This window comes from Homo sapiens, chromosome 6 (genome assembly GCF_000001405.40).
Source record: "Homo sapiens chromosome 6, GRCh38.p14 Primary Assembly".
NCBI lineage: Eukaryota > Metazoa > Chordata > Mammalia > Primates > Hominidae > Homo > Homo sapiens.
The window spans coordinates 85,683,809-85,698,346 of NC_000006.12; positions in this window are offsets into that span (position 1 = coordinate 85,683,809).

Here is a 14,538-nt window from a genome sequence, read left to right on the forward strand (position 1 = left end):
AGAGAAAAGGAAAAAAGAGCCAATGGTGGTGGCCTAGAATTAGAATTAGTACTATAGTGTGTGCAAGTAGCTTACAGTAGACAGCCTTAAAAAGATAGTCAATATAAAGATCTGGTTACAAAATTATAAGAAAAAAGTACACAAAGATTTTGGTTAAATCATGGGAGAAACATGTATAAGAAGTTAAGTATTGCAGGCATAATTACCTTATTCCAAAACAGAAAAATAGCCTTAAAAAAGAATTAACAAATTATATGACAATTGAGAAACAAAGGAATTGTATCTCTTAGTCTAATATTCTTTTTAAATTTTTCCCCAATATCTGATCTGGCCAGTAAATTCTAGGTTCCATGGTAGGACAGCCAACTGTAAATCTTACGAATACTCCAAGAAATAGTAAAGTTAAAGAGTTAAATTAGGGAAAATATCTTGTGTATGTGGAAACATTAAGGAGGCAGGTTGGTTCTTGAGTCTGAAGTTCAGAAGAGAGGTCAGGGCTTGAGTGTCATTGGCATGAATAAGGAATTTAAAGCCTGACATGAGTGAGATCATCAGAGAAAATATAAATACAGAAGAGGAAGAAGCCCAGGACAGGACACTGAAACACTGCAAAGTTTAGAGTTCTAGTAGAAAAGGAAGAGCAAACAAAGGAGACGCCTTGGGAAAACTGGAGAATATGATACCTCACAAATGAAGTAAAAAATTTTAGGAAGAGGTAGGTGAATTGGGTTCAATGTTTCTGAAAGATCAAGTAAGAACAGAAATGACCACTGGATTTGGCAACATGAAGATCACTGGTGATCTTGTAAACACAGTCTCAGTGGAATCATGATGATGGAAGTCTACTTGAAGAGATTGAGGTAAGAAGGCAGAAATAGGTCACTAGGTAGAGAGGGATGTAAGGACAAGGCACTCCTTTGTAAATAGGAAATACTAGAGTATATATGTTCATGGGAGTTATTTAATAGAGGGACAGTATTTATGATGCAGGACAAAGAGGCAAAAGTTATAGGAGCCAAGCCCTTGAGAAGCCAAGAGGAGATCCTTTCCAGAATACAAATGGAGATCTTTGATTGGAATAGGGACACTTCATCTGTTTCATTTGTTGAAAGAGAAGGCAGGTATTGGGAAAGGCTATCATGTGCAGCCTGTCCACCCATGCATGGCCACATGAGTGTGCCTTGTGACATGGGCCTAGAAGACTTTTTTTCGTTGAGATAAGGAGTCCTTACATCCTGAGTTGGACATGTCACCTTATTTGGTAGTATCTTTCCATGTTCCGGGCTTGATGTGTACTTCTTTGTTCTTTGTTCTGCTTAAAGTATGTGCAGCACACAGCACCTGGCCAATCCCAGTACTATTACCTATTCCTAGTTGGAAAGGAAGGGGTTTCTTTGCCCACAGCCCAGGTAGGATGCATAGAGACCATTATGCTGTGTCAGCTGCCTGGCAAGACCCACTGCGGGGTACCATACTCAAATCGAAGCTAATCTTGCTCTGTCTCTTCTCTATGTGAGTAAAGTGTTGTTCTATCCAGTACCTCTGTGAATTGTCTTTCCTGGTGATCCTGTCACCTGCAAACCATGCAGTGGGATGACATCCTCGGACTGCTCCTCCTTACGGTAGACAACAGGTGTTACTTGCTCGACAATTTGGCACAGCAAGCAGGGTCTGCCAGTCCAGCCATCTCAGGATGGTGCCAGCTCCCTGAGGGGATGATGGGCTGACTGAGCTGCTGGCTTCCCTCTGGTTGCATGGGGGGGTACATGGGAGTTGACATTCTCCCTGTTAACAAGAATAAACTGGTACAATGGATGAGGGTAGAAATGCAAGAGGTGGGCCCTATGAAAAATATAGGATAACTATACCTTGGCTCTGGCTAGCCAACTTTACACTCCCAAACCATCTGCCGACTCTCACTGTGTCCCAGGGGTTGCAGAAAATGCCTGAGGGGAATCAAAGGCCCCCACACAGGAAACTCCTCCTGCTCTGGTCACTTACAAGTCCCAAGTAAGACCTGTTTTCAGTATCACGTAATCATCGATGGTGTTGCTGAAAATGAAACTTAAAATGAGTACCTTCCTTGAAAATGAAATAAGACTGAAAAACAGACATGGGCAGAGGCCAGGGGAGTCCTAGGTGGCTTTGGTAGTTACTTGTTTGATGAGGTGGTGTTGTACGCTTTAGTGTCTCATACTGAGTGGCTCAGTATAGGTAAGCTAACCACTGACCCCCTGCTGCAACATTATTTTGCTTACATTGAACAGGACAACCAACAGGACAGGGATAGAGATGAGTCCTAGCTGCTCTTGATCTAGGTTGAAAAGATCTTGATAATGGTCTTCCCAACTGTGGGGGACTTCCTAAAATCCACTCGAAAGCCATCCATAAAGCCAAAATCACTCTTAAGGAAAAAGTCATACCTGACTGTGTGACCCTGCTCCCAGCATATGGATGATGCAGTGGAAGCCTTCATGTGACAGAGGTCTCCCCAAACCTGAAGACCCCATTATCCCTACTGTTGTTTCCTGAAATGATCATGGGGAAGCAATGGAAAAACTCCACTGAGTGTCCAGCTTTGGGATAAAAACAAAATGGTTTCGGTGGTTTCCAACAACTTGAGCTGAATGGAGTTCTCAACAATAGGAAGCAATGTCCAGAGGACCAAAAGAGGAAACCAATGGATGTCAAAGGGAAAAAACAGAGAGAACAGGGCTGACCCACAGAATAATATGGCTTTCATTGTTAAAACGAGGGATAGACAAGGCTGGGAGCGGTGGCTCATGCCTGTAATCCCAGCACTTTAGGAGACCGAGATGGGCGGATCATCTGAGGTCAGGAGTTCGAGACCAGCCCGACCAACATGGCAAAACCCCATCTTTACTAAACATACAAAATTAGCCGGGTGTGGTGGCGCATGCCTGTAATCCCAGCAACTCCAGAGGCTGAGGCAGGAGAATCACTTGCACCTGGGAGGTGGAGGTTGGAGTGAAACGAGATTGCGGCATTGCACTCCAACCTGAGTGAAACTCCATCTCAAAACAAAAAAAAAGCCCGGGGGATAGATGAAAGAAAGATTGATGGGATCCCTGTAGAAGATCTTGGCCAATGCTATCAGGCGGAGAGAAGTGTCACTAAATTAGAGGTTAGGATCCTAATCTTAGCCATAAAAACAAAAGTGTGGGCTCATGAGATTGAAAAGATTTAGAATCCTGTATAGTGTCAAGTCCCTGAATATGGGGACTATGACTTCTCTGTGCCCTGAACAGGACAATCAGGAAGACAATGTTGACAGTGAATAGAGTGAGTCAGACAGGGAGTAGGTATGATTGTACTCACCTATACCCTGACCTTAATTAATTAATTAACTTTTTGAGATGGAGTCTCCCTGTGTCACCCAGGCTGAAGTGCAGTGGCATGATATTGGCTCACTGCAACCTCCACCTCCCAGGTTCAAGAGATTCTCCTGCCTCAGCCTCCCAAGTAGCTGGGATTACAGGTGCCCGCCACCATGCCTGGCTGATTTTGTATTTTTAGTAGAGTTGGGGTTTCACCATGCTGGCCAGCCTTGTCTTGAACTCCTGACCTCAAGTGATCCACCCACCTTGGCCTCCCAAAGTGCTGGGATTACAGGAGTGAGCCATTGCACCTGACCCTGACCTTAATTTTTTCAACAAAAATAGAACTAAGGGGGATAAAACTAAGGTCTCTAGGTCCCCACTGGGGACCAGAGCCCTATGCTCCTGCCAAGATTAAAAAAAATAAAAAATAAAAAGCAAATCTAAACTTTTTTTTTTGATATGGAGTCTTGCTCTGTCACTCAGGCTGGAGTGCAGTGGTGCGATCTCTGCTCACTGCAACCTCTGCCTCCCGGTTCAAGCAATTCTCCTGTCTCAGCCTCCTGAGTAGCTGGGACTACAGGTGCATGCCACCATGCCCGGCTAATTTTTATATTTTTAGTAGAGACAGGGTTTCACCATATTGGTCAGGCTGGTCTTGAACTCTTGACCTCAGGTGATGCACCTGCCTCGGCCTCCTAAAGTGCTGGGATTACAGACCTGAACCACCACACCTGGCTGCAAATCCAAACTTTTCCCAGATGGCAATAATCCTGGGACTCTGAAGGAGTAAGGGTAAACTGATGGAGACAGATTCATATGCTTTTGGGTAGGGCCCTTTGGGCCATTTTGGGCACAATGTATTACAGGTATTGACGTTTTGGTTACTTGCAGCATCGCTGCCACTTCAGGAGATATGCTCCCTCACAACAAAGGATTTAAGCCATAACAGTGAGATATGTCAGCTCCCACCTACAACCAAAGTTATCCAAGCCCCAGCAGGTTATTCTACAAAAACAGTACTACATAACAGGTAAATGAAGGGACATGACCCTGTTGATATAAAACTTGCTGCAGGCAGAAGTTATGCATCACTTTATTTCACTGTAACAGCCAAGTCTGGACTGTACAAAAGGCCTCAGGATCCTGGAGGTTGACAGTAGACTACCAAAGATTATATGCTTAGGTGCCACCCTTGGCTCCTGTGTTACCTGACATCATTACTATCACTTAGGCAATGGTGGCCTACACAGAGACCAACACATTATTGATCTGGCCAAGGCCGCCTTCTGGATTCCTTTGTAGGATAAATATCAGGACCAATTTGTATTCACATAAATGACCTACAATACACTTTCACTGTAGTTCCACAGGGATACATCAATTTTCCTGCAAAATGCCACCAATAGGTAGGGCTAGATCTGTAACAAGCACAGTTACCCTCAGATATATTTGTCATTCACTGTGATAATGACATCTTCATTGCTGGCCTGACTGAAACAAACAGGTTGACCAGGCCCTACCTAAGCTCATAGACACCATGGCATGTAGACTGAGCCCTCAAGTCCAAGGCTCAACAATTGGAGTTCCTAGGAGCCACCTGGCTGGTAATCAGAGTATTCTTTTTAAGTAAAAAAAAAAATTACTGTCCTTGATAGCACTCATAAATAAGAAAGGAGCTCAAAAGCTAATGGGCCTGTTTGGATATTAGAAACAGCATGTACCATGTCTGGGTATTCTTTTGGTCCCTTTAATCAAGATTACTCAAAAAGTGGCCACCTTTAAATGATCCGTGGATCATTTAAAGGTGGCTTTAGAGCCCCCAATAACAACAGGCTCTAAAGGTCATACAACATGCAATGATATGGGTCCTGCCAGTAGGGCCAAGGAAGCCTGTCAGAACTACAGATCTCACTTACTCCTACTGAGATTGAACCTGTGATAACAAGATACTGTTACTTGGATGTATTGATCTCTTGGGTTTTAAACTTATAAATTACCTGAGGCAGCCAGTTACACCCCCTTTAAATGGCATCTATTAGCCTGCTTTTGGGACCTGATGGAAACAAATAATCTGACCATTGAAGTGCTGTATGTGACCTTAAAACCTAAGCTGCCCATCCTTATATGGGTACTCACTAATTCTGTTAATAAAACAAGCTCAGCAAAGCTCTGTCATTAGATAAAAATGATATATCTAAGAGGGAGCCTGATTGGGGGCCCAAAGGGTTAATCAACTCCATAAACAAATATCTATTTTGCTGGAGGAGACTAATGACCCAAAGGGGATCCTTCCTTCCCAATCTTAACTAAATGGGTCTCACAGTTAAAAGATGTTCCAGCAGATGGTATGGCTTGGTTCACAGATAGATCCTTGAAACTGAAGTCCAATGGGACACTGTGGCTATCTGCCTCAAGGATGGCCACCTTCTGAGACCAGATAAGAACACTGTCTAATGGGTTGAACTTTATACAACAATGATGTCTGTACAGGCCATTCCAACAGCAAATCCCTCCTATGTATTTGCAGACTCATGGGCCTCACAAATGGGCTAATCATAGAGTCCAGTGCCTAATGGATGAAGAATTAGACCACAAAAGGCTCCCCTATGTGGAAACAAAAACTGTGGTAACAGTTTGCAAACTAGAAAGGAGAGATGAACCTTTTATGCTCCCTATCACTCTCAAGCAAAATGTAGGATAGTAAAATGATAACGTGGGTGACTCAAATAATGCCAATGAAACATGGCACTTCAATGCATATTAGAAAATACTGAGGTCAGATGCAGTTGCTAACACCTGTGGTTCCAACTACTCAGGAGGCTGAGGGGGAGGATCGCTTGAACCCAGGAGGTGGAGGCTGCAGTGAGCCATGATCATGCCACTGCACTCCAGCCTTGGTGACAGAGTGAGACCCTGTCTCAGAAAATACTGAGTTTGGAGTGGGTGGAGAACTAGGCAGATGCCTGATTAGGCTGTGCCTCTGAAATCCCAATCTCAGTATACCCAACCATTCTTTTTCTTTTTTCCCACTGGAACACACTACTCAGGGGTGGTTTGTGGTCTGTGTTGCAGTGGCACCACCAGTAGGGTCTCTGATTCAGACCTGAAGGCAATGCTACCTTCAGGTGCCTCCCTCTTGTGGATTCTGTGGAGATGAGGGAAGGAGTGATAGACTGTCAGGACACTAGGATTCCCCTGGTTGTGTTTGGAACTCCCAATTCCTCCATATAGGTGGACAGTATTTTAGGGCATGTCAAATTTGTTCAGGATGTGACCTTCTTCCCTGAGTTGGATGATTAGGGCTGAAAGGTTAGGGTTAAGCAATGGGATAGTGGATCCTCATGAAAATTGTAGCCTCAGGACACAAAGAGCCTTGGTAGCTATATTTGAGTAAGTGTCATCCCAGGTCATTGAAAAAGAGTGTCTTTGGCCTCAGGAGGTTTATGCAGAGGGGATGGGTTAGGAATATTAATCTTTCCTCTTCTCATTCCTGCTTTGCCTGGCATGACAACACTGATGAGAATCAGCACAGTTGTGGTGAGAAGTGGTGAGCTCAAAGTATGCAGGATTTGCCACCCCACGATGAAATCCCTTTCATCCCACACTCCCATTGTAGTGGCCTGGCCAGTGCACAGTGACTCGAACCTTCTCCAAGCCATCCAAGACCAACAAAACTCACTGAATTCACTAGCCAAGGTGGTGATGGGCAACTGAATATCCTTGATTATTTGCTGGCAGAATAGGGTGTTTTTATGTTATTGCCAACACGTCTTGCTGTGTATGTATCAATAATTCAGGGAGGGTAAAAACTGAGCTGGAGAAGATCCACACTCAGGAAGACAGTTAACATCTATACACTCACAGTTTCCTTGGACTCGTTTTAATCTCTTTATTTGGCTTGATCCAGGCACTTGGGGTTCCTGGGTAAGTGCCTGGTTAAGCCCAAGTGCCTGTTTCTGTAGTAACCCAGATGGAATGCTGTCTCAAAATGACAGGGAGTCTCTGAGATAAACTACACCCATAATGAGTTGTCCAGAGGCCCCACAAGAACCAACTTCACCTCCAAATCCTGGCCAGGTTAGTGGTCCTACCAAATTTGATGTGCGTTACCTGCTATGTCAGCATCCAAGTATGGATTAGGGGTTGGACTGTTGGGAAAGACAGTTGTGCACAGCCTGTTGACCCTTGCATGGCTGCATGAAAGTATGCCTCAGGTCTGGAAGATATTTTTATATGGAGATAAGGGGCCCTAGGACCTATGCTGGGCATATCTCCTTATTTGGGAGTATCTTTCCCTATTCTGGGTGTCATCTGTACTTCTTTATCCTACTTAAAGAATGTACATTATATGACACCTGGCCAGCCCTACTGCTCTATCTGTTCCCAGTGAGAAGGGAACAGGGTCCTTTGCCTGTAGCACAAGAGGGATGTGTGAAGACTATTACCCTATGTCAGCTGTCAGGCAAGACCTGCTGCCATGGCGGACCAATGCACACTATTGAAACTCATCTTGCTCTCTTCTCTAGGTGAGTAAAGCATTGTTCCTTTCAGTGCCTGTGTGAGTCATGTCTTTCTTAGTGACTCCAATACCTGCAAATCACATAGTGGGTTGACATCCTGATGCTGCTGCTCCTGATGGTAGGCAACAAGTGTTGCTTGATAGCAGGATTTATAAGTACAGAAAATAGAGGTCCTCAATCATTTGTATTTTCTTAAATGATTATGAGGCAAGGTCATCAACTGAGAAAGGAAAGTTGGCAAAAGAAAGGAAAGAGAAAAGAAATGTGAAATTGTTATTATGCAGAAGAGAAAAGCAGGCAGACTAGGGAAGTAAAGTAGGATTGACGGGCAGTCTGGAGTGCCCATGAGATTTATGGCCATAAATGTAATGTGAGTAAAATTGTAAGCTTTCTTTTTCTAGAGGTATTCAGACACTTGGGTGCAGGTGTGGAGTATGTGGGATTAATTAGGGTCAAAGCTTTGTCAGGTAAGAAAAGGAAGAAAGAAAGGGCTGGAGGAGTTAACGGCTTTTGCAAGGAAATGATTTTAGCGGTGAACAAAAATATAAGGTGGGTAAGGGAATGCTTTATAGTGAAAAAGGGATGGTGTTCCTGGACTGAAAATTTTATTAAGATCAAAGAAGAGCTTCTGTGCAAAGACTAGAAGTGATAGGACATGGGCGGGCTAGAGAATAAGGTTCTGGAATTTGGGATTTTGGAGGTAGTATAGTTGTTAAAGACAAGAATCAAAGTATTACCATGGGAGTGAGTGGATGGTTGAGATAGAGTGGTAAATCGATCATTGGAAGGAAGAATCATTGGAGGTTGAGAAACTGAGAGTCAAGTTGTTAGGTGGATCATCACTGAATGTTGACAACATACTTATGTTGATAGGAGTATTGGTACAAGTAGACTATAAGACAGGTGCTAGAGTCATCAGCACTGTGAAGATTATAGCCTAGGGAGTTGGCAGATGACAGCAATGAGAAGAAGCTAGTGCTAAAATATCCTGGTCTGCATAAAAGATTATGGGGCTTTATAGGAGGAGAGTTAGGATAAGGTTTGGGAGCCACAATAAAAAGCAAAAGAAGCACTTCTCCACCTCCAGATCTGAGTTCCGTGGGTGATTCATTTTGGGACATTTAAAGTTTGAAATGTCTGGAGATATCCAATATTAAATACCAAATATGCCGTTGAATATACAAGCCTGGAATTTGGAAGAAAGGTGAAGGGTGAACAAATTTGGGATTTGTAGTAGAAATTCATCATTTTTGGTCACCTAGCTTACACAGTGATTCTCCCTTCTTTCAAATTGTCTCATTTTTTTTTTTTTTTTAGTGTGGATTTACCCTTCATTTATTCTCAGCTTATATTATTTGGATCTACTTACCCTAATCCCTCAGGTAGGCCCTGATTGACTTAACCACTCAACAAACCCCACCACTTGGCTACAGTAATTGGTCTGCTGTGATGAACACAACTCACTGTGAGAGTTAGACTGGACATTTTTGCCTAATTATTGGAAAAAAGAAACTTTCTTTTTCCTATTGTGCATTAAACATGGAGGATGTGAAATCTGAGAGTGCTGCAACCTTCTTGTAACCATGAGAGAAGAATCTATTCCATTTGAGAATTAAGTCAACACTCTGAGAGGAAGAGAGAACAGCTGAGCTGTGAGGTGGAGAGAACAAGGTTGTAGGCATAGCATTTGAACTTGATTGATTCCTGTGGCACTGGCATTTAGCCATTCCTTAGTAGAAATCAGGTTCCCCCAGAAATCAGTCAGTATGGAAGAGGGATACACAGGATATGGATACTGAATGGTGTGAATACTGAAAGGTATAATGCATCAGAGCCATTACTATAACAGTCTCTGACAATCTGTTTCTACTAATTCTTAGACCCCTTGAAGCTCATCCGTGGTGCAAAGGGATAAATTAATCCCACTTTACCCCATACAAGAAAAAAAAAATCAGCTATGCTAATTATCTTACATTTCTCATTCAAGATCAACTCCTCAACATTTTCCACAGTGTTTTATGCTACAGGAAGCTGACCTAGATGAACAGCACTAATGAGTTCCCTTGTCCTCTGGCTTCCCATTGGTTTGGGCTAATAGGGAGCCGCAGCAGGAGATTAGAGGGAGGAGGGAGTTGCTGTTGACATCCATTGAAGGGAAGTTTCTGTCAAGGTGGCCATCTCATACCTTTCCCCCTTTCCCTTGCACCTTCAGGCCCAGAAGTAAAGCTCACCGAGGCCCAGGATACTATTACTAAATATTTCTTTAAGACAGAAAGTAAAGGCTAACAGAGATACTATTCTCTTTTTTCCCTACACCTTACTCACCTTGTAAATAGCCTCTTTATTGAACTTTTCTCAAATTATCCATGTTTTCTGTTGGGAATCTAACTAATATTTACCTGATGAACTAGTTTTAAGTACCCTTAAAAGCATACATGCACTCATATACATAATAAAGAATATTCTTGTCTTGTCACCTTGGCCAATTTGAGTTAATCTTTTCGGTTTCTGTATACCAGCTTGACCTCATGGTTGATACATATATTTTTAACCCCATCCTCCAGTGTTATGCAACATTGTCTGAAGGAAAGCTATCTTTCAGTATGTCCTTGGGTAGCACCTTACATCTGTCCATTCTACTGCAGCTTCTCACAAGTCAATTATAGGCAGTGTTAAATAAAATGTTCAGATCATTCTTAAGCACTGATTAGAACGGCTGCAAGCAAATGCTTGCTTAGAAACTGGCTGAGAATGCTTATAGTAATCCAATTTTATACCTTGTTGAATTCTATAACTTGTTGGTAAATTTTATACAATTGCTGTTAGATGTTGTTTCTAACTTCTGTGACATACATCCTAGAATTTTAAATCCCTGAAATAAGGTTTGCAAATGATGTTACATTGACCCTTTCACCCCTTAGCTTTACAATATATGACCATGTGTTATGTATTTTGAGCTGAGCTCTGGTTTAGATAGTTTCACAATTCTTTAAAAGACAAACAGATAACAAACAGTTATTATAGATTGCTCAAAGATGTTTTAAGAGGAAGTCACGGCCATAGTTATGTATTTTATTAAAGTAATTTATCTTTTTTTTCTTTCTTTTTTTCTGGTTTTACCTTTCTTTCCTTTTTTTTATTATTATACTTTAAGTTCTAGGGTACATGTGCACAATGTGCAGGTTTGTTACATATGTATACATGTGCCATGTTGGTGTGCTGCACCCATTAACTCGTCATTTACATTAGGTATATCTCCTAATGCTATCCCTCCCCCCTCCCCCTACCCCATGACAGGCCCCGGTGGGTTATGTTCCCCCTCCTGTGTCCAAGTGTTCTCATTGTTCAATTCCCACCTATGAGTGAGAGCATGCGGTGTTTGGTTTCTTGTTCTTGTGATAGTTTGCTGAGAATGATGGTTTCCAGCTTCATCCATGTCCCTACAAAGGACATGAACTCATCCTTTTTTATGGCTGCATAGTATTCCATGGTGTATATGTGCCACATTTTCTTAATCCAGTCAATCTTTGATGGACATTTGGGTTGGTTCCAAATCTTTGCTATTGTGAATAGTGCCGCAATAAACATATGTGTCCATGTGTCTTTATAGCAGCATGATTTATAATCCTTTGGGTATATACCCAGTAATGGGATGGCTGGGTCAAATGGTATTTCTAGTTCTAGAACCTTGAGGAATCACCACACTGTCTTCCACAATGGTTGAACTACTTTACAGTCTCACCAACAGTGTGAAAGTGTTCCTATTTCTCCACATCCTCTCCAGCATCTGTTGTTTCCTGATTTTTTAATGATTGCCATTCTAACTGGTGTGAGATGGTATCTCACTGTGGTTTTGATTTGCACTTCTCTGATGGCCAGTGATGATGAGCATTTTTTCATGTGTTTTTTGGCTGCATAAATGTCTTTTGAGAAGTGTCTGTTCATATCCTTCGCCCACTTTTTGATGGGGTTGTTTTTTTCTTGTAAATTTGTTTGAGTTCTTTGTAGATTCTGGATATTAGCCCTTTGTCAGATGAGTAGATTGCCAAAATTTTCTCCCATTCTGTAGGTTGCCTGTTCACTCTGATGGTAGTTTCTTTTGCTGTGCAGAAGCTCTTTAGTTTAATTAGATCCCATTTGTCAATTTTGGCTTCTGTTGCTATAGCTTTTGGTGTTTTAGACATGAAGTCCTTGCCCATGCCTATGTTCTGAATGGTATTGCATAGGTTTTCTTCTAGGGTTTTTGTGGTTTTAGGTCTAACATATAAGTCTTTAATCCATCTCGAATTAATTTTTGTATAAGGTGTAAGGAAGGGATCCAGTTTCAGCTTTCTACATATGGCTAGCCTGTTTTCCCAGCACCATTTATTAAATAGGGAATCATTTCCCCATTTCTTGTTTTTGTCAGGTTTGTCAAAGATCAGATGGTTGTAGATGTGTGGTATTATTTCTGAGGGCTCTGTTCTGTTCCATTGGTCTATATCTCTGTTTTGGTACCTGTACCATGCTGTTTTGGTTACTGTAGCCTTGTAGTATAGTTTGAAGTCAGGTAGCCTGATGCCACCAGCTTTGTTCTTTTGGCTTGTCTTGGCAATGCGGGCTCTTTTTTGGTTCCATATGAGCTATAAAGTAGTTTTTTCCAATTCTGTGAAGAAAGTCATCAGTAGCTTGATGGGGATGGCATTGAATCTATAAATTACCTTGGGCAGTATGGCGATTTTCACAATATTGATTCTTCCTACCCATGAGCATGGAATGTTCTTCCATTTGTTTGTATCCTCTTTTGTTTCATTGAGTGGTGGTTTGTAGTTCTCCTTGAAGAGGTCCTTCACGTCCCTTGTAAGTTGGATTCCTAGGTATTTTATTCTCTTTGAAGCAATTGTGAATGGGATTTCACTCATGATTTGGCTCTCTGTTTGTCTGTTATTGGTGTACAAGAATGCTTGTGATTTTTGTACATTGATTTTGTATCCTGAGACTTTGCTGAAGTTGCTTATCAGCTTAAGGATATTTTGGGCTGAGATGATGGGGTTTTCTAAATATACAATCATGTCATCTGCAAACAGGGACAATTTCACTTCCTCTTTTCCTGATTGATTATCCTTTATTTCTTTCTCCTGCCTGATTTCCTTGGCCAGAACTTCCAACACTATGTTGAATAGGAGTGGTGAGAGAGGGCATCCCTGTCTTGTGCCAGTTTTCAAAGGGAATGCTTCCAGTTTTTGCCCATTCAGTATGATAATGGCTGTGGGTTTGTCATAAATAGCTTATTATTTTGAGATATGTTATATCAATACCTAATTTATTGAGAGTTTTTAGCATGAAGGGTTGCTGAATTTTTTCAAAGGCCTTTTCTGCATCTATTGAGATAACCATGTGTTTTTTGTCTTTGGTTCTGTTTATATGCTGGATTACATTTATCAATTTGCATATGTTGAACCATCCTTGCATCCCAGGGATAAAGGCCACTTGATCATGGTGGATTAGCTTTTTGATGTGGTGCTGGGTTCGGTTTGCCAGTATTTTATTGAGGATTTTTACATCGATGTTCATCAGGGATATTGGTCTAAAATTCTCTTTTTTTGTTGTGTCTCTGTCAGCCTTTGTTATCAGGATGATGCTGGCCTCATAAAATGAGTTAGGGTGGATTCCCTCTTTTTCTATTGATTGGAATAGTTTCAGAAGGAATGGTACCAGATCCTCCTTGTACCTCTGGTAGAATTCAGCTGTGAATCTGTCTGGTCCTGGACTCTTTTTGGTTGGTAGGCTATTAATTATTGCCTCAATTTTAGAGCCTGTTGTTTGTCTATTCAGGGATTCAACTTCTTCCTGGTTTAGTCTTGGGAGGGTGTATGTGTCGAGGAATTTATCCATTTCTTCTAGATTTTCTAGTTTATTTGTGTAGAGGTGTTTATAGTATCCTCTGATGGTAGTTTGTATTTCTGTGGGATCGGTGATGATATCCCCTTTATCATTTTTTATTGCACCTATTTGATTCTTCTCTCTTTTCTTCTTTATTAGTCTTGCTAGCAGTCTATCAATTTTGTTGATCTTTTCAAGATACCAGCTCCTGGATTCATTGATTTTTTGAAGGTTCTCCTTCAGTTCTGCTCTGATCTTAGTTATTTTTTGACTTCTGCTAGCTTTTGAATGTGTTTGCTTTTGCTTCTCTAGTTCTTTTAATTGTGATGTTAGGGTGTCAATTTTAGATCTTCCCTGCTTTCTCTTGTGGGCATTTAGTGTTATAAATTTCCCTCTACACACTGCTTTGAATGTGTCCCAGAGGTTCTGGTATGTTGTGTCTTTGTTCTTGTTTGTTTCAAAGAACATCTTTATTTCTGCCTTCATTTCGTTATGTACCCAGTAGTTATTCAGGAGCAGGTTGTTCAGTTTCCATGTAGTTGAGCGGTTTTGAGTGAGTTTCTTAATCTTGAGTTCTAGTTTGATTGCACTGTGGTCTGAGAGACAGTTTGTTATGATTTTTGTTCTTTTACATTTGCTGAGGAGAGCTTTACTTCCAACTATGTGGTCAATTTTGGTATAAGTGCGGTGTGGAGCTGAGAAGAATGTATATTCTGTTGATTTGGGGTGGAGAGTTCTGTAGATGTCTATTAGGTCTGCTTGGTGCAGAGCTGAGTTCAATTCCTGGATATCCTTGTTAACTTTCTGTCTCGATC